The sequence below is a fragment of the Homo sapiens genome, chromosome 5 (assembly GCF_000001405.40).
Source record: "Homo sapiens chromosome 5, GRCh38.p14 Primary Assembly".
In the NCBI taxonomy this organism is placed as follows: Eukaryota; Metazoa; Chordata; class Mammalia; order Primates; family Hominidae; genus Homo; species Homo sapiens.
In genome coordinates this window covers 68503383-68530055 of record NC_000005.10, presented here as the reverse complement: position 1 = coordinate 68530055, position 26673 = coordinate 68503383, and the positions used below count along the sequence as shown (strand labels likewise).

Sequence of the window (26673 nt, the reverse complement as noted above, 5' to 3'; positions counted from 1 at the left end):
ACTGCTGGTGTATAGAATGACCCCACTAAGAGCAGTGAAAACAGGCTGGCTGACACCAGAGCTGCACCTTATTTTGTCTTTTGAAACTGGGTGGAGGGATCAGGAGTTACCCAGTTTTTTTTCCCTTTGGCGACAATGTTCTTCCTGAACCATGAGGAGTAATGAAGAGAGAAATATCAACATTTTTGTGGTTCAGCTGACATTAAAATGGGAAAAAGCACATCACCAGAATTAGAATGTCCTGTTCATTAGTCACTCTTCCTTCTAAAATTAAAATGTCTCTGCAAGCAGGAAAAGAACAAGCCCTCAATGACCTCATAACTCATTATTTCCAAGGAATATACTTAATTCCCAGCAGAGATGAATCTGGAATCGATTTTCCATTTCTGTCAGCCATTGAATGGCGGCCTCATGGATCCTTCTGAAGGAGAATATGTACTTTTTGTGGGGTTGGCAGGGGCTGATGAAGAGAGCTGGTTGCTGTTGTCGGTGACCTTGTTTGTGGGCAGCTGCTGAAGATCCATTTTCTGTTGCAAGCCATTCTGAGCCTTTCAGAAACCAAGAAGGAGGTACTCAGTCAGGCTTTTTCATTGTAAGGCTTTTCTGTCTTTGCACATGACCACTCTTACAGCTGAAATCCCTTGTCTGGGCCATTAGAAAAAAGTGTGCCAAGCACTAACTGCTGCTAAGGGGTGAGAGGGAAGGGAACTGGAACCTTCATTAACACTAACATAGTCAGAAAGAGGGTCTGTCTGATGATTTCTGTAATATCCTTTGCCTCCACATTCCCTAGACCTCTGAGCTTGAGGTTAACCAGAGCTGTAGCTGAACTATAAACTTTCAGAGGGCCCCCTCCGCAGTGCCAGGTTATACCCATTCCTTAAGCAAGTGGTATAGTTCAGTGTTCCTCTCTGTGGTTAGAACAGAAAAAAATTTCTAGACATGGTTCAAGTATCTCATACTATGACAAGCTGGGTCAATACTAGACACCTATGTGAGTAATATAGCCATTATCACCCCCTCAAAGTCAACAAACTAAGAATGTAGATCATCACAGAATTCAGCAGTGACAAATTCACCCCCAACCTCAGTGAAATGTCTGCTGATTTTCAAATACAGTTTTCATGTTGAATTTACAGTTACCAGCTGTGCAAACATAAGACGATAGGAATGGAAGTCACAAATGAACCACGCCTCAGAAAATGTATACTAAATTTAGCATTTTGTAACTTAATTCCCCATAAATATGCTCACATTCATTTTTATGGCATTAATTAAATTGAAATTATGCTTGGGGCAAATTATTTGCTCAAGGCAAAAAACAAATCATGATTATATGATGCAAAGTCGCTGAATGATGAGTAAATCTATATTTCCTTAGATATATTAACAACCTTAATAAATTGCATTTAAATAGCAGTTTTACATATAACACTCTAATTTGAGCCATTATTTAGCAGCATTGTCTCCCTAGGATGATAGTATAAGTTTCTAGGGACCTGGTCAGGAGACTGTTTCCCCATGGGCCCCTTGCTGACTTGTGTCTTTGTAATAGGATGAATAATAGCCCCCAAAGACATTAGGTCCTAATCCTTGGAACCTGTGAATAGGAAACCAGGCTCTGGGGGCAGAATATGTGAGTTCAAATTTTACCTCTACCACTGCAAGCCATGTAACCTTGGGCATGACTTCTCGGGTTTCAGTATCCTCACATGAAAAATGAGAATTATAATAGTTCTTATCTCACAGGGTTTTTGTAAGGATGCTCTGAGATATACAAGTATATAGCATAATATCTCCCACTAAGATTAGGCACAGATAAGGATGTCCTCTCTCAGTAGTTCATGTTGGAAGTTCCAGCTAATGCAATAAGACAAGAAAAGGAAATAAAAGATACGCAGATTAGGAAGGAAGATATAAAACTCTCAGTTCGCAGAGGACATGATGTAGAAAATCAGAAAGAATTGACAAAAACAAAACAAACAAACAAAACAAACAAAAAACCCTCCTAGAACTAATAAGCAATTAGAGCAAGGTTGCAGGGTGGTCAATCACTTCTATATACCAGCAATGAACAAGTTAAATTTGAAATTAAAAACATTATACCATGTATATTAGCACTCCCCAAAATGAAATAGGTATAAATATAATATATACAATATCTATATGAGGGAAAATACAAAATTCTGATGAAAGAAACCAAAGAACAACTAAATAAATGGAGAGATATTTTGTGTTCATGGGTAGGAAGACACAGTATTGTCAAATATTAGTTCTTCCCAACTTGATTTATAGACACAGCAAAATCCCAGCAAATTTTTTTGTGAACATCGACAAACTGATACCAAAGTGTATATGGAGAAGCAAAACACCAAGAATAGCCAACACAATATTGAAGTTTAGAAGAACAAAATCAGAGGACTGACTTTACCTAATTTCCTAATTACCTTATTTCAAGCCTTACTATAAAGCTACAGTAATCAAGACAGAGTAGTAGCAGGAAAAAAAAAACAAACCCAGATAAATAGATTAATGGCACAGAATAAAGAGCACAGAAATAGACCCATATAAATATTGTCAACTGGCTGGGTGCGGTGGCTTACGTCTATAATCCCAACACGTTAGGAGGCTGAGGCAGGTGGATCACCTTAGATCAGGAGTTCAAGACCAGCCTGACCAATATGGTGAAATCTTGTCTTTACTAAAAAAAAATACAAAAGTTAGCCAGGTTGTGATGATAGGCACCTGTAGTCCCAGCTACTTAGGAGGCTAAAGCAGGAGAATTGCTTGAGCCTGGGAGGCGGAGGTTGCAGTGAGTTGAGATCGCGCCATTGCACTCCAGCCTGGGCAACAACAGTGAAACTCCGTCTCAAAAAAAAAAAAAAAAATTATCAATTGATTTTTTACAAAGGAGCAAAGGCAATACAATGGAGAAGACAGTCTTTTAACAAAGGTGCTGGAATAACTGGACAGCCATGCACACACACAGAAAAGAATCGAGACACAGACTTTACATCTTCACAAAGGTAATGCAAAATGGATCATACACCTAAATGTAAAATACACAATTATGAAACTCCTAGAAGATAACATAGGAGAAAATCTGACAACCTTGGGTTTGGCAATGACTTTTTAGGTACAACACTGAAGGCACCGCCCATGAAAGAAACAACTGATAGGCTGAACTCCATTAAAATTAAAAGCTTTTGCTCTGCAAATACAAGAGAATGAGAACACAAACCGTGAGTAGGAAAAAATATTGCAAAAGATATATTAGATAAAGGACTGTTATCTAAAATATACAAAGCATATAGCACAATGTTTGACCCAGTTAGTGCTCACTAAATATTAGCTATTACTATTATTTGACTATCACTAGTTCGTGTTGCTTCAGAGTCCCTTCATTTCCATCACTTTTCATCAGTTAATTTTTTGTTAGTAGCAGTTGGTTTACGCTAGTTAAGTATGTCTCAGTCAAATCTTGATAGTAGGCTGGCGGATTTCATCAAGAATTTATTGAGCTCATCTTCCAGACAAACCTTGATGACACAGAGGAAATGTGTTTGCTGGACCTGGGGTCATGCAACAGGCCCGTGAAGGCCATCTGCTGTTGGGCATATTGGAGGTAGCAGCAAGAAGAGCCAGCAGCTTACAGGCTCACTTCACTCTACTACCTCCTCAGTGAGAAAATTGGGTGGGGTTAATGACAGTAGGTGCAACCCTCAGGGAGCAGACATGGCTCTGCATCCCCTGGCTATGTAGAGTGGGCTGTGGAGAACCGACTAAACCAAACTAGGAAATAGTACAATTCTAGGGAAACACCTCCTTTCCCTGTCCACTCCCATATCTCGAAGAGTTGGCTTTACAAAGTCTAAATTTCTCTCTCTCTGAAGTTCTGGGGCCCATCTTTTAGAAGCGGTTCCCTCTTGGGGAAGACCTCTGGAGAATCCCCTCTCTCCTTGCCTACCAAGTGCTGTGGGTGCCACCATCCACACTGCCATGGAACTCACAGAGGCAGGGAAGCTGCTCAGGAGCTTCTAGGTGAAGTTTGTGTGGAGTTTGGTTCACAGTAGAGAGTGGGTTGTGTGTGAGTCCAGGGTGGTAGTAATGGTGGCCCTGAGAGTGTGTAATGCATCCTCCACCATCATCCCCACCCCAACATCTCTCTAGTTCTTCCCTCTGGGCCACCTCCTGCTTAAGTAACAAGCTTCCTTCAGCCCCTGTCAAATGAATTAAAGAATAGCTTTAGAGGAATTATACAACGTCATAAATGAAGATTAGTGGGTTTTTTTTTTTTTTGGTGGGGGGGAGTTGAATAGAGTCTTTATTAATGTTAATTTCACCTGCTTCTTTATTTTAAAATTCCAGGGTACATGTGTAGGATATACAGGTTTGTTACATAGGTAAACGTGTGCCATGGTGGTTTGTGAAGATTCGAGTTTTAGAATTTGGGTTTCTCTCTTATTGTTGGGACTATTTAATTGCTTATTAGACACCCATGAGGTGTTGGCAGCATATGGAAGATGTAGGGAGGTTTCCTGATCAGTGGACTTATATTCTTATCAAAAATGACAGAACAGCTGGGCGCAGTGCCTCATGCATGTAACCCCAGCACTTTGGGAGGCTGAGGCAGGCAGATAACCTGAGGTCAGGAGTTCAAGACCAGCCTGGCCAGCATGGTAAAACCCCATCTCTACTAAAAATACAAAAATTAGCTGGGTGTGGTGATGTGCGCCTGTAATCCAGCTTCTAGGGAGGCTGAGGCAGGAGAATTGCTTCTAGGGAGGCTGAGGCAGAAGAATTGCTTGAACCCAGGAGGTGGAGGTTGCAGTGAGCCAAGATCACACCACTGCACTCCAGCCTGGGTGACAGAGCAAGACTCTGTCTCAAAAAAAAAAAAAAAAAAAAAAAAAAAAAAAAAAAAAAAAAGATAATGAAGAGCTGTAACAAAGAGACACATCAGGTAGGGTTAGACAGACCTTCCCAGTAAGTTTTTAAGAGCATTTCATTTCATTTCCCCTTTGCCCTTGGGTCTGTTCCTCTGATCTATCAGCCTTACATCAGTAAGAATGAGGAGCAGGTAAAAGTAAGCGGCAGAGTATTGCATTATATCGTCTCTGAACATGTGGAGCATAATGAAGGCTTTGAAAGAGCAGAGAGAGAGAAGAGTTTGACAAACCAAATTTTAGAGCATGTGCAAGTAAAAGTAATAGTGACTGAGAAAAATAAAGTGAAAGAATGGAGAAAAACATAAAACTTAAGTATTATTGACTTCACTGGCGAAAGATGGGAATTGGGTGCCCGATACTTCACTTGAGGGTTTTAGGCTTTTTGAAGAGGAGGATGAGTCTATGAAAACACAACTAAAAACACAGAGAAGTCTGTGTGTGTGTGTGTGTGTTTTAAGGGACAGAAGCCACCATAATATGGGAAGCTGCTCAAACATGGCAATCCCTGTTCTACCTTCTGCTATTAGCTGACTGCCTCTGTGATAAACCTGTATCAGTTAGAATTAGCATTGGCTGCAAGTAACAAAGTCCCCAGTTCTAGTAGCTTAAACAAGTTAGTTTATTTTTCTCTTGTGTGCAAGTAGAAGGTGGGCAGTCCAGGACTGAAATAACCCCAGTCCTCACAAAGTCCTCAGAGACTTGGGCTCTTCAACTTGCTGCTCTGCTATCTTTAGAGCAAGACCTTTGTCATCGAATAAGGGGGTTAGAGCTCAAGTCATCACATCCAAGTTACCAGCAACATAGTGAAGGGAGGGTTGGCGAGGAAAGGGGCAAAGAGTATGCTTCAGCTTTCTTTTAGGAAGGTTACTGAACCTGCGTGACACTCCCCTCTATTTCCCAGTGGTCAGAAATTAGTGATATGGACACATCTTGTTGCAAAGAAAACCAAGAAACATGGCCGTGAGCCCAGCTAGAAATTTAGGTTCTATTATTATGAAAGAAGGTGATCAAATTGCCATTGTAATTTCCTAAATCTTAGTTTTCAATAGAAAAATGTGTCAACAATGCATCCTGGTGTAGCCTTCTTAAGTATCAAAGTAAGACTGCCATTATATGCAATGTAAAAAGATGTGACTACTTACAACTTCAGGTTGGTAATCAAAGAATCCAGCTTCCTTCCATGATTCTGATAAGTCTGAACAGCTCTTCTCAAGGGTGTCCTAATAGTTACTGAGTTTCCACTACAAATTGGAATAAGAGCCAGGCATAACTGGACTGAAATCCTGGCTCTCCCATTTACTAGCTGTGTGACTGAGCAGACCAATTAAGCTCTCCAAGCCTCAATTTCATCCCCACAATGGGCATGATACCTGTGCCTAAGGATATTGTTAGGACTAGACAGCAATACATATATGAAATACGTGAATACAATTAATAAGACCTTTCTTCTGTTCCCTTCTCTTTTAATATACATTATCCTTTCTCATTTGGAAGCTGCTTTTCTGCTCTCTGACTATGTCTTTCCAAGAAGTCTTTTTCTTTCTGGTATGGATCTTTATCACCCAATTCACATAAAGGGGTAGTACCAGCAGACCCAAGCTATACCACCAACTACAGCAATTGCCATGCTGACATCAAAAACAGGAAATTCACTATAACCAGGAAAACATTCTATGGACTAGTGTTCAACAAGAAACATGCAAAACATACACAGCTATATCTAAGACTTAAATAAATATACACACAAATGAGCAGAGGCATAAGCATTTATATTTTTATAAGCAACAGATCGTCATAGCTGAACCTTACATTTCCTGAAAGAGCTGAAGCAAATATGGTCCCTAAACTAGTTGCACGCTGCAGACTTCAGGGGGCCTAGAGGGACAGAGGACAAGCCGTCAGGCGCCCAGCCTGGCCCCCATGATTTCTCTCCACTCTTGCCCTTGCTAACATTCCATTTTTATTTCTCATCAGTCATGAGGCTCACTAGGAGGAGTATATTTATACTTACTCCAGTTGTTTTCTAGGGCTGCCATAAAAAAGTACCATAAACTAGGTGGCTTAAAACAGTAGAAATTTATTCTCTCACAGTTCTGGAATCTGTAAGTCTGAAATCAAGATGTCATCAGGGCTATGTTCCTTCTGAGAAACACTGAGTGGGATCCTTCCTTGCTGGTGCCTGCCTTCTGGCGGTGGCTGGCAATCCTTTGTGTGGCTTGTAGTTGCATCCCTTTAGTCTCTGTCTCCATTGTAACGTGACGTTTTCCCTGCCTGTGTGTCTTCTCCCCTTCTTATAAGGAGACCAGTCATACTGGTTTAGGGCCTACCCAAATAACTTCATCTTAACTTGATTACATCTACAAAGGCTCTAATTCCAAGTAAGATCACATTCCCCGGTATGGGGGGTTAGGACTTCAACATATCTTTCTAAGGAACACAATTCGATTCAAAACACTTATAGAATTTTGTGAAATTAAAGAGAAACTAAAACAAATTCAAGGTTAACCTTATGCAGATTTCACTCTTAATTGCTTCCTGATAATCTTGATTAGCGAAAAGAATGGAGTGGAGTCATATGCTGCTGACACTGGAAAAGCCAGGACTCTGAGTGAGTTTTGGGAGTGTCTTGAATGTGAATGTCACTATTATCGTATAGGTCCCCCAAAATGAAAGGTTTTCCTCCTGCTTATGGGTGAAGCTGGGGTGTTCAAGGGAGGGAAGAGATGGCCAAGTAGTTGCACAGGTGATCAGAGTCAGGAAGTGGATTGTGCTAGGCTAACATGAGAATATGTGTATGTGCTTAGGAGTGATTGTGTGTGTGCATGTGAATGACTGTGTATAAGCTGTGTGTGTGTGTGTGTGACTGTGTACATATGCAGTGAACTAGCATGTGTGAAGTTTCTGGGAGAAGGAAGTATTGAGAACATTGAGATGTTAACAGCAATTAGGAGGTGGGTAGGGAGAAAAGACTATCATGGGGCAAAGCATCTAACCACACAAAACTAGAATGTGACTTTCTGGTGAAAGGGAACACAGAAGATTCTACAAAATTAGAAACCTACAAGTCTGTGCCAAGTCTATATCCGGTTGCCTTATGCTTCCCTTCCTTCATTATTTAGCATGAGTGGCTATAGGCCAGATCCAATTGTAGTTTTTGCCTCTGACTTTTTTTTAATGAGAAACAAACACTAGTATTTTTTATTCTGTCATATGTAGAAAACTATATCTCTTCTTCTCCCTTTCTTGATTCTGCTCTAATATAAGAACCACCAAACAGATTGAGATCAATCTTGCCAAGAAAGTTTTACTATAAAGATGAAAATGCACAGAGGAATGTTTTAGTCTGAAAATGTAAGGTAGTTAGATATCTACCAAAAGTAGAAATCAGAAATTGTAATGCATGGACACATTTTGTTGTAATTATTTTATTTGCCATTAGCAATGAATCTCAAGCTGTTGAGCAACCAAAAACCCATCTGGGGACTTAGTACCAGTGAATGAGCCATTATCTTTACCTATTCACTTATTCTCAAAGTCCTTTGATGTCACAGTCAAAGAGTTTGACTGTAATGAAATAATGCAAAAGAACAAGATAGAATGAAAAGTGAAACTAGCTTTGAAGCTATTTTTCCTGGAAAAAAATTGTAAGAATTCCCAAGAACGTGGTACACCAAAGGAAGATGAATTCCCTGCAGTCTTGCTGTAATATAAATATGAATCAGAATATGATGCCCTGCATGTGGAAGACACTAAATAAGAAGTTGTTAATAGTGATGGTGGTGGGAGTAGCAACTTCGGATCTGGAATAACTCGAACTCAAAAGAATATTTGTATGGTAGATTTGAAAGGTGGCCACAATTATATGGCCATCACAAAAATATCTCTTTCCACATAATGTTCTTACAATGTGACGTTGACCTACCTTTATTGAGAGGTTGGGTCTATGTTTCCTTCTTCTCAACCTAAGCAAAACTTTGTAACTATCTTGGCCAATGGAAGATGGAAGAAATGATTCTGCATGACTGCCAAAGCTAGGTCATGGAATGCAATATGGCTCTCTCTCTCTAATCCTCCCTCCTTTTATCTCTCCCTTTCTTATCTCTCTCCATTCTCCCTCTCTCCCCTTTTCTCTCTCTCTTTCTTTCTCCCTCTCTCAACGCTTGTCCTTGGAGCCCAATCACCATGATCTGAGGAAGGCTAGGCCACAAGGGGAGGCCATGGGTGGGTGTTCCAGCTGGCAGTCTTAAGTAGGCCCCCAAATGACAGCAAGCATCAATGGCCACACATGCGATTAAATGAGTCTTCAGATAATTCCAGCCCTCAACCTGCAAGTCCTCCAGCTGAGGACTCAGGTCCAGTGCCCTGTCTGGATTTCTTACTAAAGGAACTTATTATTGTTTAAGTCATTAACTTTTGGGGGTAATTTGCTATGCAGCAATGGCTTACCTCCTGGGAGGATTTGGGGATGCACCAGATTCCCCCATCCAGGGAGGCGAGAGCTTCTGCTTCTTGTGGAGTTATCTTGCTGGAATGACGGAAGAGGTCTCCGTCCTGGTGCTCCTTCTTGACCCAGGTCCCATCATTGCCAGGCTCAGCCACTGTCTTCAAACTGAGGCATCTCAGATATGGTTAGAATTCCATAGTCCACTATCAAAATCATTTTTGGTAGGTCACATAGTTTACTTATTTTGAATTTTTGATCATCATGTTGAATAAATAAGTGCTCCTCAACCTGTAATGTGCATACAAATCACCTGGGGTCTTGTTAAAATGTAAATTCTGCTTTAATAGCTTTGGGGTGGAGTCTGAGATCCTGCTTTTCTAATTCCCAGGTGATGCTGAAGTTACAAGTCTGAACCACACGTAGACTATCATAGGTATGGAAGATTGTATGGACAAAGCAAAATTTTGCATAACTCATCCCCAAGGCAGGAAACCAGGGATAGCACTTAATGCCATTGAGCATCTACAATGTGATAAGAATCTTCCTTAAGTATTTCATATATATCACTGTAGTCCTCAGAATACTCCTCCAAAATAAATACAATTTATTTTCCTCACTTTATAAAGAAACTAAGGTTCGTAGAATTTACATAAGTGGAAAAGCCAGGACTCAAACCCAGGACTCACTATGAAATTGTGTCCTTGCCACTATACATTCATCTCTTATGATTCCTAAGCCTGGGATTGGTTCTCTAGTTATCATTTCTCTTTGAATAAAGAGGTGCCTCTGTAACAGTGCTGCCCAATAAACTTCATGCAGCAATAGAAATGTTCTTTATCTATCCTGTCCAATATGGTAGCTACCTGTGGCTCCTGAGAATTGAAGTATGGCTAGTGTGACTGCAGAACTAAATTTTAAGTTTTATTTAATTTTAATTTCAAATGTAAATAGCCATCTATGGCTAGTGGCTGGGACAAGTGGCTAATTGCTGGTGGCTACCGTATAGGACAGCATAGCTTCATAGGAAGAATCCCAAAAAACACTGGGACATTAGGTTTGAAAGGTGCCTTGGATTTTGAGACATTAGGTTTGAAAGGTGCCTTGGATTTTCACTGTGGAATGTGTGCCATGGCTCTCCCTCACATTCAGCATCTTGAGTTGTGCACAATTCTCATCTTTGATTGTGTAGAGTTGTCATCCACAATCTTTCCTTCCCTCTGCTTCCCTTTCCTGTATTACGCAGCATCAAACAACTTCTTCCTTTCGGATTTACATCAACTAAACAGAAGGCCTAACCATGGTGCACGTACTGGAGATACAAAGAGGAACAAACTCCAATTCAGGAGGGAGGAGGGTATGATAGGAGGAACCCCTAAGAGACTGAAATAGCAAGTGGAAACCACTCTTCTATTCTTTGAGGGTTTGGGGAAATGAATGAAAAAGATCTGTTCAGATGCTTTGCCTTCCTGTTGGGAATTTTAACAATTAGAACACTTTTAGCTACAAGTAGAAGAAACTCTGGCTTGATTTAAACAACAAAGAAGTGTATTATTTCAGGTAAATTGAAAATCCAGGGGTGGAGTGGACTTCAGAGTTAGTTGATTCAATTGCTCAGCAATATCTTAGAAGACTCATCCTCTTACTATCTTTCCTTTCTCCCACTTTTAATGTTGGCTTCATCCTCATGCCGGTAGCAAGATGGCTACAGAAGTTCTGGAAATATACCAGACGTGGCAATGCTGCAGAGGAAGGAGGGAGAATATGCCTTTCTGCAGATCTTTCTTGGAGGAGAGGCAAGTTTCTCCAAAATTACTCAGATGATTTCCCCTCATGTGTCTCTGGCTGGAATTAGGTCACATGGCCATTCCTGAACAAAAAGACAAGGAAAATAAGACTTTTCTTATACCCAGCCACTCCTGGGGCTGGGAGTAAGGTCAGATTTTTCCAGGTACATGGGCTGTGTTAAACAGTGGGGAAATACCTCAATAAAATCGGGGTTCTGTTAGAAGGAAAGAAAGGAGGAGGTAACCAGTGTTACCTCAGGACCAAACCCCAAAGGGTGTTTGGGATGGGGGAGCTGTGAAGCATTCAGTTTGGTAAAAGCAACCTGGAGGTTATCAGGGTTAGTGGCCTCCTTCTAGCAGCATGGCTGTGGGTGGCTCTAAGTCTCTAGGGAAGTCCCCATTCGGTTCAGTGCCACACCCAGTGCATTTTGGGACTGAGGCTATTGGTGGGCTCATGCTGAAGGGCCTGCTGTGGCATCCCCAATTCCTCATGGCCTGGGCAGGGCACACAGACACCCAGAGGTTCCCACATGCCCTGCCAAGAGGTCAAAGAGGGGCTGCGCGGTCCAGTGGACCAGCACAGAGTTTGGAGTAGAATGTCATGAGTCTTCTTCCTCTCTCTAGAAATATTCCCAGCTCCTTTGTGTCTTCTCTACAGCCTGCGGCTGAGCTTTGCCCATCCCCATGAAGACTCCATTGTGTCAGGGGACTGCTTTTGCCCACACCTGAGTCCTTGCTTTTTGCCCCATTTGGGGAACACCCATCTGGCATGGCCAATACCTTCAGGGCTTCACCCCTAGGCCTCTGTGCAGAATCAAAGGCCTAGGTACAATTTGGCTTTGGTATTTTTTCCTCCACTTCTGTAAAAACATCTAACGAAACCATGGCAAACATCCATCAGCATCAAATTTCTTTCCTGTTAATAGATCATTCTGAGTCGCATTCTCTTATTTTGCTTTTCTTTAAATTAACTCAAACTATTCCTGCGCTCTCAGAGTGAAGTGTCCAAGGTGGCCAATACTGCACCTGTGCCACCTCACTTATTCTGTCTCCCGGTGACAGTCACAACTTTCCTATTGAAACAAGAAAGCACCCAGCCAGGACCCCATCTCCGTGTATTCAGGCAGGAACCACTTACCCTGGCTCGGAAGTCCCTCCTGCCATGCACACTGGAAATCCCCAGGGCTGACCCTCCGCAGCAGCCTTTCCTGAATTGCCGTGTAGCTTCCTCAGACTTCCTGCCTGCCCCCACCCCATCCTTTCTCCTCAAAGCCTTGTTTCTGCAGTCACCTTTTCCGTCATTATTCACGTCATACCTCACATTGCTCCCGAGTTTCCTGAATTCAGTGGTAAGGGGTATGCTCTCACCTTCATCTTCTGTGTCCCTCAACCCTACTCATCTCTGCCTATCATATCCCCCTTCCACCAACAGATCCCATTCCTAAGAATGCTGCCCCACCACTCCCTTGGGTGTCCTTCCCCCTTCCTTGGTTCCATATCCCCTGTAACACAATAGACCAATCCCTTTAGAAAAGTCTTAACTGAGCCCTGATGGATGACCCAGGTCAAAGTTTCCAAAGGCCAGTCTACCCACTAGATTCTGATCTGTATCAGAACTACCTGGGGAGTTTTTGAAAAGGCACACTCAGCTGGGTACAGTGGCTCACGCCTGTAATCCCGGCAATTTGGGAAGCTGAGGCGGGCGGGTCACTTGAGGTCAGGAGTTTCAAACCAGCCTGGCCAACATGGCAAAACCCCGTCTCTACTAAAAATTCAAAAATTAGCCAGGCATGGTGGCACACACCTGTAATCCCCGTACTCAGGAGGCTGAGGCAGGAGAATCGCTTGAACCTGGGAGGCAGAGTTTGCAGTGAGCCGAGATCGTACTACTGCACTCCAGCCTGAGCAACAGAGCAAGACTCCATCTCAAAAAAAAAAAAAAAAAAAAAAAGCAGACTCCTGGGCCCATGTTCTGACTACTGAATTAAAGCCTAGGGGGAAGAGGTGGGGGAGAGAGTCTAAGTTTGTTTTAGTACACTTCCCAGGCGATCCTGCTGATCCAGGTGTGGGACGCACTGGCTGGGTGCCTCTCAAGTTCTCATGTAGCCACTGGTTGCATATGGCTGTCTGGATTCCCATGTTGAAAGCACTCATGTCATCGGGGGTTAAGTTGGGAACCGAAGCCTCCTTCAGGCGCTGGGCTAACACAGTTCCCTGGGGAACCAGTGGGAGAGGAGATTCACCTGCAAGCCAGACAACAGGTCCACATATTCTGCACTGCCATTTGGTGGGGTCAGCAATAAGGTGCTGCAGACATTTGTGTTTGTTTATTTGAGAGCTAGGTGTTTAGGGATTTAGGTTAATGATAATGCCTAGAATGGTGTCATGGGTTAGACAGTTGAGGAAGCATTAATTTAATTATCATCAACAACAAACAGCCATTGAGTGTACCTTGTATAGGACGCTGGGGCTTAGTAATAGAGACTCAAAAATAATTAAACACCTTCACCTGGAATCACTTACAAGGTAGCTGGGAAAGAACGCACAGGCTTCTAAAGATGTGCTGACATTGTTATTTTCTAAGAAAAATTGGAATTTAGTTGTTTTTGACCTTTTCTCTTAACTCATTCACTCCAGAGTTTCTAAGGGGCTGTGATATACCAGGCACTGTGCTCAGCCAATGGTAGGGAGAGTGGTAAGAATACAGAAATGAGAGGACATGGGCCTCCGTAACACAGAGAGAGATACGTTACACACAATATGATCAGGGCCAGAGAGAGAAACCTACTAATTCCTGTGAAAACACAGAGAAGGGAGATCTTTCACTGTGAAGTTCAGGAAACTGGTTGTTTGGATCTGCCCAAGAATAAACTATAATATGTACTAGCGAATGCACTATAATATGTACTATATAATACATAAGCTATAATTCGTACCAGCGACTGCACGAGGCACTTTGAATATGTTACCTCACTTAATATAATCTAATTTTTCATTCCCAGACCCTCATTAGGTACGCATTATTACCATAGTTTTACATGTTACATAGATTCTCACTTGATGGTAGGTGATGCTTGATGTTGAGAGGAAACAAAATACCGTCCCTGCAACCCCCAAGCAACTATTCGCATATGCTGATTTGCAGAGGAGGCCCTGAAGTGCTCAGATGTAAGAAGAACTTAAACTCAGGTGGGAACAATGAACTCTCAGGTGGGAACAGTTGGAGAGCCCTTAGGAGGAAACCTGCCAAAAGGGGAACAGGTGTCTGGCCCACTGAGTTGACTCAGTTAAAATTTGACCAAGGTGTAAGGCTTAGAGAGTACGTGGGGTTTTTGCATACAGGTGTACTCTGTATTTATAATCAACCACAATCTGGAGAACAAGAAAAGCTGCAAAACTTTGAAGCTCAATAAGCATTGTTTGGAGGCAATCCTTCACAGACCAAAAGATGAGAGCTTTCTATTTTGTTTCAAAAATAACTGTTAAGAAACAGTGATGATATTGCCCAAAGGCCTGAGCATGGAGGAACCAGATGGCAGCAAGGATGGTGGTGGAATTTTCTCCTGACTGGCAGACAGTTGCTCTAACTGGCAATGAAAAGTCAGTTGCTTTCAGGTGACTGAAATAATGGTAGCAGTAACAATAAGGGCAAGATCTCAGCCTCCAAGTGAACTTTGTGGACCAGCTGGGTCCGGACCTAGAGTCTGTTCAACAATCTCCCTTAGAAGTTCCCAACAATAGTTGCAGAGGGAGAATCTGTTGGAAACAACAACAACAACAACAACAACAACAACAGCAACAAACTAAATAGCCCCTAAACTGATTTGGAGAGGGACAGGGTGAAGGCAATCAAGTCAGAGATTTATGTTAAGTGCTTAGATTTTTACTCCCAGCAACGTGGAGCTTGAGCTCTTAGGACTCCATACAGATGAGAAAACTGAATGTTATTGCTCAAGGTCAAAGAACCAGGAAAAAGCAGAGCCAGGATTCAAACCCAGATTCTTCTCTCTACAAATTTATTCCTCTTGTGAGATGATATTTGAATTGAGGCTTTATAATTGGATAGGGGGCTAAAGGCAGATCATTCCAGAGATAGTTGCAACTAAGCTTGTAAAGACAGAAAGGATGAAAAGAGCAGGGCTAGGCCACGCAATTTATAATTCAGCGAGGCTGATGATGGGCTATGTAGAGGGAGTTTCAACAGGTGAGCCTGACAAGGCAGTTTAGTAGTAGCCCTGTGTGCCCTGCTAAGGCAGAGCTTCTAGTCCTTTCTTAACCTACTCTCCCATCTTTTGACAAACACACAAATCTCTTTCCTCCTTTACAGTTATTTGAAATAACAGATGCAGTAAATATTTTGACCAAAAAAAAAAAAAATCTTAGCAATGAAAAATTTTAAATGTGGATTTTCAAATTACTATATCTTGAGTCCATTGAGTATTTTCTATCTCAGCTGCCTGGACGTAGAGCTGTCTGTCAGTCAAGGAGATGAGGAAGAGGTCATCACATTTCTATGAAGGCAGTGAGGAAGGTGAAGGAATGGAGTCAAGAGCCCTTTCAGAGGAAGAACTGATGAGGGTCTCACGGGAGAGAATTATTAGATTTCTGAGCTACCTTGATTTTGAGGACTTTTGCTTTGAATCAGAAAGCTGCAATATTCCAACCCAACGTGCACTGAGTGTTTGTTTCTCAGATCAGGAATCAATCAAAGAAGCGAACTTTAGTCCTGACAAATACTTTGCCATTCACAACATCCCTAGGTGTTTTGTGTCAAAATGAGGGAATCTATGACTTTAATGATTTCTCCTGCAAAGCAAATGGACTCTTTCCCAGATGCATATTGATTACTATAATAACTGCTGATGGTTGTTGGGCTTTTATTGTATGCTAGATGCTGTACAAAGTACTTTGCATGTATCATCTCAATAATCCTCGCAATAACTCCAAGAGTTAAGTGCCATTATTATCATCCTCATTTACAGATGAGGGAACAGAGGCTCAGAAAGAAGTGACCTGCATAAGGTCACACAGCTGGTAAGTGGTAGAGTTGCAATTAGAACTCATGTCTGTCTAATATCAGTCACTGAGTATATGAGGAACCACTCAAAAGAGAATTCAGGGACCTATAGAGTGAGCTGGGATGTGGTTGTATCCTCATCTATACCTCGGGCAGGAGATCCAGGCAGCATTGAAGTGTAAATACCCCCTGGGGTTAGGGTGCATCATTCCTGCAGGGAGACTGTTAGCCTTTGCTGAAGGTGGCCTCTTCAGGTTTTTTTTTTGTTTGTTTGTTTTTTTTGAGATGGCGTCTTGCTCTGTCACAGAGGCTGGAGTGCAGTGGAGTGATCTCGGCTCACTGTGACCTCCGCCTCTCGGGTTCAAGCGATTCTCCTGCCTAGGCCTCCCGACTAGCTGGGACTACAGATGCGTGCCACCACAACCAGCTAATTTTTTGTATTTTTAGTAGGAAATGGGATTTCACTATGTTAGCCAGGATAGTCTTGATCTCCTGACCTCGTGATCTCCCCGCCCCGGCCTCCCAAAGTGCTGGGGTTACAGGCATGAGACATTGCACCTGGTCTCTTCAGTTCTTTGACTTAGAACAGACAAAGCAACATTCGTTTCCCATTTTCAAAAGCTCCCCCCAAATGCTGTTCAACTGAGGTCCAGATGGTGTATGGAATAGATCTAGGTGTTTGCTGGCCAAAAAGCTAATTCCTGAATTGTAGGGCTTGTCCCCAGGCTTGATAGTAGAGATGCTGGGAAGGCCAGGACAATGCCAGAAACAGAGTCTCAAAGGAAAGCAGAGAGAATTGTCCACTGAGACCTCTGACTCAGTGTCCCCAGCCATTAAATGACTTTTACCTTACCTGGGGTATATGAAGAACTCCTTTTACAAGTCCTTTTTTTTTTAAAGTGATATCTTAAACATAACTGTGAAAAAAGTGCATACTCTCCTAAAATTCAGATGTTATAAAATACTTGAGCAGCTTTTAAACATTTAACCTTCAAAGTTCTGCAACTTAGGCTGCAAGTATGAAAGAAACAAGTTATAAATGGCACTTAAATGCAAATTACATTCTTTTCTCACAACTGATATGGACTTCAGTCTTGCTAATGATAGGACAGAGGTTTACCTTGTCATCTATGGCATCCTTTGTTATTTGTCATAGATTCTGGGGAAAAAAAGCACATCATGTATGCTTGTCTTAAACTTAACAAATGTAGTTGTTTAAAATTTAATAAATATTTTTCTGAAAACCACTTGCAGATTATTTCTAACAGGGTTACAACCTAAATTACTGAGGTTTAGAAGTGTACAAAGATGTCATGAATGCCCTTGGCTGTTGCTGCTCTTTTTTCTCCATGTATTTGACACCTAAGTCTAGACCAGACAAATCCCAGCTGTAATCCAATGATGACCAACCTCAGAATTGTGGTATATGGCTCTAGAAGTTAAAAAGAAAAGAGCCATCACTGAAACAGTTGAAAATTGTTACCACTTAACTGGCAGAAACTGAATAGTGTAATGGTGGAACAATGAATCCATGCTTCTTTGGAAGAGGAAACTAAGTATGAATGGAACAATCTATAAATGTGGGAGGGGAGTAAAGAGCGAGCCTCCCAGGGTTAACTGCAATGCCAGTACTATAATTTTCCCAAATTGGAAAAAAATGGACAAAGTTTTGCACCACCCAAAATGAAGTCAGACCAAGCCCATCATATTTTAAATATGTGGTGATGATTTCTTTAGAAAGGGCCTCTGAACAAGATGTAAGAAAGAACAGTTCTGCTTGCAAGCTCAGTCTAATGCTGGCCTTGACAGCTCCTGTGGGCTTCTATGTGACTACTGTGAGTAAATAATGGAACAACATTCTCACGCAAGGCCTGCTAATTCTACAGCCTTCTGAGATCCATAAGTTACTGCAAAAACCAGTTTGTGCTTATACGCACTAGGAGATCTCGAAGTCCAGCAAGAAGCTTGAAAACCCCTCACACTGGAATCCTTCATCTAACTAACACCAAGAGTCTTTGTTCCATTTGCACTTAGGGTGTTGTATTGTTTTTTGGTTGGTTGGTTGGTTGGTTGTGTCTTCCAGTTACATTTTAAAGAAGGGATGGGGCAATAGAGTATTTGCATAGATTTGCAGGAAAAAGGTTGACACCTACCTCTGTCTTTCACCTGAATCTAGCTGTATCATGTTGAGTTTCCAAAGAGATCTCTTGTCAATTATTGGGGGTGAAGGGAGTAGACAGAATTAGTAACTGACTTATCTTTCTCTCGATGATGGTATAGGAATAAGTGCTAATAGCCAAGGTAAAGGGCCAGCTTCTCTCCTCCACAAGTGGTATTCTCCAAGGTGTTCAGACTTTTCACTGTAATGAGGGAAGGGAGTGGAATTAATTGTACATCCCTCTTTTGCTGACCTCTAAGACTGCTGTTATCTCTCCTTGCCATGCTTACCGCTCCCTAGTCCTATGGGGAGCCCACTTTCATTAATACGCCCTTTCGGAAGTGAACTCTGGGTCAATGAGAGTAAATCAAATGGAGGAAAAAGACTAGAAAGAACAAAAAAGAAGTGGGCCTTCACTTTAGCAGTGGTCACACTTCAACTTGAAAACAGATGGAAAGGAATATAGACTGTGGTTACCACAAATAGAGAATGCATAAAATTGCATTCGTTAAATTAGGTACACATTTTTACCATGACATACTTGTAGCCTTCCAAATGATTCTCTTTACTTAGACGCTATGGAAGGAAGGGATTTTTTTTTTTTTTTTTGTAAATTTCTTCATTTCCCAGATGATGTCTGCAGAACCACAAATGTGGAAAAGGTGGATATTAACTTTCTCAGTAACTGCCTGCTGACTTGTTTGCTTCTCCTAATTGTAAGCTCCTTGAGGGAGGCAATGGGTTTAACCACTGCTGAATACCCAGTGTGCATGGGAGATGCTCGGATAGTTAATGAGTGAGTGAATGAATGAATTAGCAGCAAGGAGAATTGAAGAGATAGGAATTGAGTGCTATAGCAACAAATGCACTAAGTGAGCAGTAAGTTTTATTACTACATGTATCCATAATGGTGACATGCAGGTAAAAAATATTCTTTTTATAGTTTACAGTTGAAGTTCAGTTTTAGGAGTGAGGGATGACAAGAAGAAGTAAGTGTCAAAGTATTCAGTGAAGTTGCCAACATCAAGGACTGATGAGCAAAAGTAATTAGTAGTGGCAGTAGTTAGTAGTTTTTAGAGACTCAAAACAGTCATTTGCAAGGAGGGCTAAAAAAATCAGCTGGGAATCATGAGATTATCTTCTGCCCCATCTCTTTATGACACCACCACTTTCCTTAAGGAAGTTAGACATCCATAGGTATTACACTAACCCTTAAAGCTGTCGAGTTGGCAAGTCACTCCTCTGGGATCAATCATGTATTCATTCAATAACTTTTTTTCTATCCAGTATAGGTCATTATACTAGGTGGAACAGAAAAATTGTAGCACGGTTGGGTGCGGTGGCTCATGCCTGTAATTCTAGTGGTTTGGGAGGTCGAGGTGGGCAGATCACGAGGTTAAGAGATTGAGACCATCCTGGCCAACATGGTAAAACCCTGTCTCTACTAAAAATACAAAACTTAGCTGAGTGTGGTGGCGGGCACCTGCAGTCCCAGCTACTCGGGAGGCTGAGGAAAAAGAATTGCTTGAACCTGGGAGGTGGAGGTTGCAGTGAGCTGAGATCGCACCACTGCAGAGCAAGATTCCATCTCAAAAAAAAAAAAAAAAAAAAGAAAAAGAAAAAGAAAAATTGTAGCACATAGTTCTTTTCTTTAAGTTATTTATAACCTAATTGCAGAGAAAAGATATAAAAGCACTCAAAAAACTAAGGTAAAAAATCATGGAATACATAAAAGATGTCAGAAGACAACATGTGATCACAAACCTGAAGAAAGGGTCTACCCAGTCTGTCTTTTGAGTAATATCACATCCCGTCCTGATATGCAGGATTACTGTATAAGTCATGTTCCTAGGACATAAACCTGCCTGCCTGGCCAAAGTTGAATGGACCCAGGGTGGCACCTGACCAAGCTGGGCCAATTAGATTCTCCCACAGGAACTTGGAATTTGTGTAAGTTCCAGTTTGTTTTGGTTTTCCTCCTTTATAAAATAGATGTAAATATTGGTAGTGACCATTTTCTACCATGACAAAGCAAAGAAGGTCAGTTGCAGAAAGGAAAAAAAAATATGAATCAAATGTGAAGAGAGAAGCAAAGATAGGAGAAGGAAAGAAGAGACTCTCTGGTTCCCTAATGGGCTCTAGTCTCTAGGTTCAGTAGTTCTGAGATTCAATTTTCTCCCTGTCCTTGAGGGGCATGAGACTTTACTGCATCCATACAAGAGTGCACTTCTGCTTGCTTCTGAAGAAAGCAATTTCATATTTTACAAGTTGAGTTGACATTGTTGACTTGGCAGTGCTGTGTTATTGGAAATCCAGGGAATTCCTGGTCCAAGTTGAGGATGCTTTCCTAATACCCCCTTCCCCTGCCATGTGTGTACTAGCACCTCCTATTTCATGTCATCCCAGAGGCTGGGTCCTTCCAAAACCCCTTTAGTGCCCTCTCTTTCTACCTCCAGAGTACCAGTGCTTCAAAGATTTTATTTTATGGAATCCTTATAATAAGTTCCTATGAGGTAGATTCTATTATCTCCATTTCACAGATAAATCTGACACAAAAATAAATGGGACAATTTACCCAACATCACATGTCTAATAAGTAGTAGAGCCATGATATGAACTGAGTCAGGGTGATTCCTGAATGCATACTCCTAACCACTAAACTACCCTTCCTCTTGTTTATTTTTTATTCTTTTGCTAGTATACTACAGGAAACATTACATAATATGATCTTTTCTTTAACATGTTACAATCTTTCTGTTTCTGCTATTCCATATACTCGTTTGTTTATTTGTTTGTTTGAGGCAGAATCTTGCTCTCTCCCAGGCTGGATTGCAGTGGGGCAATCTTGGCTCACTGCAACCTCTGCCTCCCAGGTTCAAGTGATTCTCCTGCCTCAGCCTCCCGAGTAGCCGGGATTACAGGCATGCACCACCCCGCCCGGCTAATTTTAAAATTTTTAGTAGAGAGGGGATTTCACCATGTTGGCCAGGCTGGTCTTGAACTGCTGGCCTCAAGTGATCCGCCCACCTTGGCCTCACAAAGTGCTGGGATTACAGGTGTGAGCCACCATGCCTGGCCTCCATGTACTGTTATTTAAGGCATAAACCTGATTGCAGAGACTAGGGAAATGCCCACCAATTCCTTTCATCTTGCTAGGCACACTGGAAATCTAAATTTCCTACCCTTCCTTGCAGTTAGGTTGGAGATATTTGCTGGGTACTGGCCAATGGGGACAAAAAGTGATATATGCTACTTCCAAGCCTCACATAAATTTCTCTAGGTAATTTTCTTTGGTCTTTCTTCTCCTTCCATGTAGATAAGGAGTTCATATGCTGGAATGATAGTGACACAGGAGTTTAACACTCCTACAGTATCCAGAGCCTGGATCCCTGAGTCATCAGATGGAGAAGAACTACTCAGGAGAGTCATCCAACCTTCATAGACAGTGGCATGAGTGGGAATTAAACATTGATTATGTTAAGCCATTGCAGTTTGGGGTTGTTTGTTACAGAAGTGTTCATTTTCCCTTATTGACCCACCTACTGAATTCCAAAAATTGGGTAAGCACTGGTAGCAGCCAATAAAGTAGGCACTTGCGTAGACATACAAAGATTACTTTTTATAGAAGCTTGATCCTTTATGAAATCTGGTTTGTGTGATCAATGAAAGTACTGATAATATTCTCAACAGACACTTGGCCTAGTGCTTCTTAGTTATTAAGAAGACAGTTCCATGAGAGTCTTTGCTATAGCTGTTGGAGTAGATCTTTCTTTTGCTCCTCAGAGTGTTCCTTGGGTTGTAGGATCAGCTTCTTGCTTATGTAGGGACAGGAACTTTAGTCAGAGGGTCAGGGAGTTATATTTCCGGACAGGATGCTCAGGGGCCCAGCTCCAACTTACATACAGCCTGCATTTAGTTGCTTTTTGACAGCAACTGAACAGGATAGAATTTTGTTTGTGTGTGTGTGTGTGTGTGTGTGTGTGTGTGTGTGTGTGTTTTAACTTACATACACTGTGGCCATTCAGCCCATCATTGCAAGGGCTTTTTCCATTCCTACAAGTTAGAAAGGGGAATCACAGTTACCCAAATGGAAAACTTCTAGCTTGAGTGAATAAAGGAAGATGTAACCAAGTGGATTTGATTAAGGATGAACCCCTATTTTTGCAGCTCCACTGGCGGGGATATGGAATAAAACCTGTTTCTTCATGCTGGGAAATTCAAATTGGAAGCTGATAAGTTAGGGAAATAGCATAAAATATGCAGTGAAAGTTGCTCAATTTAATGTCAATCTCATCATTAAATCAAAGATCAAGGTTTATTTCAAATGAAATTTATCATGAACTTAGGAAAACCTCTACATGGTTTTGGTAAATTGTCATCTTTCAAATGAACCTCCTGACTTTCCCAGTGCAAAAAGTTCTCTGCATGACCACCTTAAGAGAAAGAAAGACGTAGGGCTAAAATTCTTGCTTTTGTTACATTTCTACAGTTGAAAGTAAATGACCCAAGAATACCTACCATTCCTTCAAAATGCCTTGGGCTTCCAAGGGACTGCTGCATTAAAACTAAAGGTCATGAGTTTTGGGGGTGTCATGCTCTGAATAATCTGTAGCTGTTGTTGTTTTAGTATTGTTATCCATTCAACCAGTATTTCTGGAGTACCTCAATGTTCTAAGCACTATCTAAGTGAGACAAAACTGCTATCTCCTGTCTAATGGAGTAATTATTTATTTACAATTTGCTGCCACTGCCATTAGAACAATGGAATCCAGAGTCTAGCACATAGTAGGAGCTTAGTAAACACTTGTTGAATAAATGTACAAGCTCCTTTGAAATCTGAGTACTCTTATGGGAGCAGTAGCAAAAATATTGCCTCTGCTTTATCTTAGTTTTTGTCCCTATGAACAGGATTCACTTTCCCACTTTGAAAGAGGAAACAAATTGCTTCTACAGGCAGCCAATATTTCTTGAGTACCTATTTTGTGGTGGAGACAGTGCTAGACACACTGCCTGGGAGATACTCATGCTTTGACCTCTGGCTTCCAACAGTGGCATAGTGGCTGGCCTTTGCTTTACTGACTTGGGTAGATAGATAATTCTCAGATAAGTACTAATGCCTCTGAAAATATCTTCTTTCTTTCACACTCAGTTATTCCAAGAAGGCAAAGAGGGAGGCAGTTAGTTGTTATGAATTCAGGGCAATTATAACCCTGATTTACTTAAGAGTACATGGAATGAAACAAATAAAGCATTAACCAACATTTTCTTTGAAATGAGGTTGGGTAAGATTAGCTTAGAGGAGGGCATCATTACGGGGAGAAGAGCCATTCATCACTGTCTGCAATAATCCATGTTGAATATCTTAATGTTTAATTATTTTTAATCTTTTGGAAATAAAGAACTGCCCTAGGGTGTTTTCCTTACTCTTTCCCTCCTACAGAGCAGCCTGCTTTGGGAGCTGAAGATTTTCTATGTATTCTTTGAAATGGATCCAAATTCATTACAGATACACTGTGAAGTGGACATAGACGATGAAACTGGTGGGTGGGGGAGGGTGTGTGGAGGGAAAAAAGAAAAGCTACCATAAGTAGCCAGGGCTAGTTTGAAAAGTTGAAAGGTGATCTTTGACCTTCTCATGACTCATAAAGCACTTTATGACTCCTACCCCTTAGTCAAGAATTCTCAAGCTCAACAAAAGAGCTTTTAGCTGAATTGCCATTTGTTAACCTAGCTTCACAAGGACTACTTATTTCAGTTTCTGTGTTGACCAATTAAAGTTCTTTACTTTGACTACCTTATAGTTTACCATCTTGGTTGACTTCATGTCAATTTTCTAGGCCATGTACTTTGTCCGGCCATAGAATTGGATGGGTGAGGGAAAGACCAGGTGTCTTATTTAGCCATGTGGATAGAATAGAAAAAAAAAAAAAAAAAAAAGGGAGGGGAGAAGGGGGTGTGTAGGGTGGGGGGGAGAGAGAGAGAGAGAGAGAAAAGAATTTGCAATTAAGAGACATCCAGAGTTGCAAACCCCAAGAAGGCAAACTAAGAGTATTCCTATAGTAGAAGATTCCTGGGCTAAATACCCTGGGCCTATTCCTAGAACTTTCTAAAACTTTCGCAGCTCCAATTTCTGACCTTGTCTTAAAACTGATAAAGGGTATCAATTATTTCATTCACCACCATTGACATGTCCATTTACCTTCTGGGGAAGGAACTACTGGAGGCCACAATGGGACTCAAATGTAGTTCAAAAGGCCTGTGACCAATTTAATTGGACTAAACTATAAAGGGCCATAGGCACTAGAAATATCTTTGGATTTTTCTTTCTTTCTTTTTAAATACCTTGTCTCATGTCTTCTGAACTCTATTTCCTAGGCCACAAAACATGATTGGTTTATTTGCCTCTTTGAAATGCTCATAAAGTCAGATTAAAGAATTATACCCAGTCTGTTTTTAATAGACTTTGGCAGGGACTGTGTGGTAGATTAAAGATGGCCAAAAATTCAATGTTCCTTCAATGAGAGGTGGGGTCTTTGTCCCCCAAGCCTTGAATCTGGACATGCTCTATGACTGTTTGACCAATGGAATTAATTGGAAGTGACACTGTGCCAGTTTCTGTGGTAAGTAGTTATACGGCAATAGAGAAATAGAATATGTTGTTTGGGTTCAACCAACATATTCATCTGGATATGGTCATATATAGGGAACTCTTACAGTTGTGAGAACTCTTAGCAAAAATCTACTATGTTCCAGGAATTGTACCCAGTTTGGAGAATATGGCTATTCATATATGGCTCCTGTTTGCAAGATATTCAGTCTAATGGAAATAATAAGACATGTACATGAAACTTCAAGATTTAAGCTAATGATGGTACAAAGGGCCATAGCAGTAATTCTCAAACGTCAGTGTGTGTAAGAATCAACTAAGGAGTGGGTTAGAAATGGAATACCCCAGGGCCATATGTCCAAAGACTCTGACTTAGCAGATCTGTGATGGAGTGCAGGCTTAACAAGATCACCCAGATTATTCTAAAGAATAGGAATGAGAACAGCATTTTAAGAAACACTTGCTGTAGGAATAACTAGCTTGGAATGACTCCCTGGGACTCTGTGGAGAGGCCTCCAGAGAGCTCCACAGTTCTGCAAGGCTTTGAAAGAAGAGTAGGAGCTTGTGCTCCCAAATCCAGGCTTCTGACATGCTGTCATTGGTATAAGATGACAAATGCTAAAGGACTTCCCTAACCAAAAATACTTCCCTTGTGAGTCCTGCTATAGTGTTTAACACTCCTACAGTATTTAATCTTTGAATAGGCTTTGTAGGACTCTGCAAAATGGTAAATATGATCTGCAAAGGGTAACACAGTAGTCCATTTTTAGTGACTAATGCATTAGCTCAAAATTTCTTCTTTTACGTTCCAAATAATCATATTTATTTAACTATCTGCTAGCTCTTGTGTACTGTAAGTGCTCAATATACTTTTTTTCTGATTGAATAAATACTTGTTGTGGGCTCAGAAAGTATGAACCATGGATGCTTAAAGGCATAGGCTATTTTATAGAAAGACACTCCAGTGAGTTGTAAGGAAATTCTCCTTCCAAAGCACAAATTGGTTCCTGGGTAGAGAGTGACTACCTGCTATTGAAGAAACAAATACTGTCTGTGTTCAGAGCATGTTTAGCACTGGAGGTGGTGGTGAGGAGCACACCGCAGGATTAGGCATGGTGCATTCAAGGAGGTTGAAATCTAATTAATCAAAATTAACAACAAACTCAGAGAAAATTACAATGTGTACATAATTGCATGTGAAGTAATGTGGCAGCTATTTAAAGTGGTGTAGGAGTTCAGCAGAAGAGTCAGTCTTCTCATGCCAAGGAAGGCTCCTTAGAAGTTTAAGACAAAAATGAACTTGGCGCTCCTATGCAATATGTTCAGTATGTTCCAGATGCAGCCAAAGAATGTCCATAGATTCTGTGAAAGGATACAAAGAACATAGAGGAAGACGATCTTGTGAAGATAATTAAGCATAATCACTGTCTAGGTTATAAAGGGAGATGATTGTACTGACTCCTTCTCAGATGTGACCAAAACCAAAGGCTTTGGGACTATCATGGTCAAGAAGAATTATTTTATTTATGTTGATTACCTAGTTTCTTTGTCCTACCTGTTTCTGGAAAGGGGTTTGAAGCTCCATATCATCATTAATCCTGTCTCTAGGGAGCTGATAGACTTTCTGTAAAATGTGGATCTGAAGCTACGTCCATCAGACGCTTGCATGCCTTCACCTGGCATATGGGGATTTCACAGCCCAACCCCTCTGTCT

The 26673-nt window shown here is 41.3% G+C and overlaps 3 long non-coding RNA genes across 11 annotated transcripts in view; 2 read left to right on the top strand and 1 right to left on the bottom strand.

The window, feature by feature from the left end:
• The window catches only part of LOC105379011 (uncharacterized), a 58354-nt gene extending 36521 nt beyond the window's left edge, over positions 1–21833 (top strand). For 2 of the 7 annotated variants that reach the window (XR_001742693.1, XR_002956214.1), the window contains 2 exons: positions 2912–3242; positions 21669–21833. This is a non-coding gene — a long non-coding RNA (uncharacterized LOC105379011). Of the gene's footprint in view, positions 1–2911; positions 3243–9781; positions 12878–21668 lie in introns of those variants that run through there. The other 5 variants (XR_007058802.1, XR_007058801.1, XR_001742694.1 and 2 more) reach the window with 5 other exon arrangements.
• The window catches only part of LOC105379013 (uncharacterized), a 406546-nt gene that overhangs the window by 302802 nt on the left and 77071 nt on the right, over positions 1–26673 (top strand). The gene's annotated exons all lie outside the window — the stretch shown is intronic.
• LOC105379012 (uncharacterized) overlaps positions 17306–26673 on the bottom strand; it is a 29314-nt gene continuing 19946 nt past the window's right edge. Inside the window, exons 3-4 of the long non-coding RNA XR_948411.3 lie at positions 18348–18554; positions 17306–17353 (exon numbers count right to left, since the gene is read on the bottom strand). This is a non-coding gene — a long non-coding RNA (uncharacterized LOC105379012). The remainder of the gene's footprint in view (positions 17354–18347; positions 18555–26673) is intronic.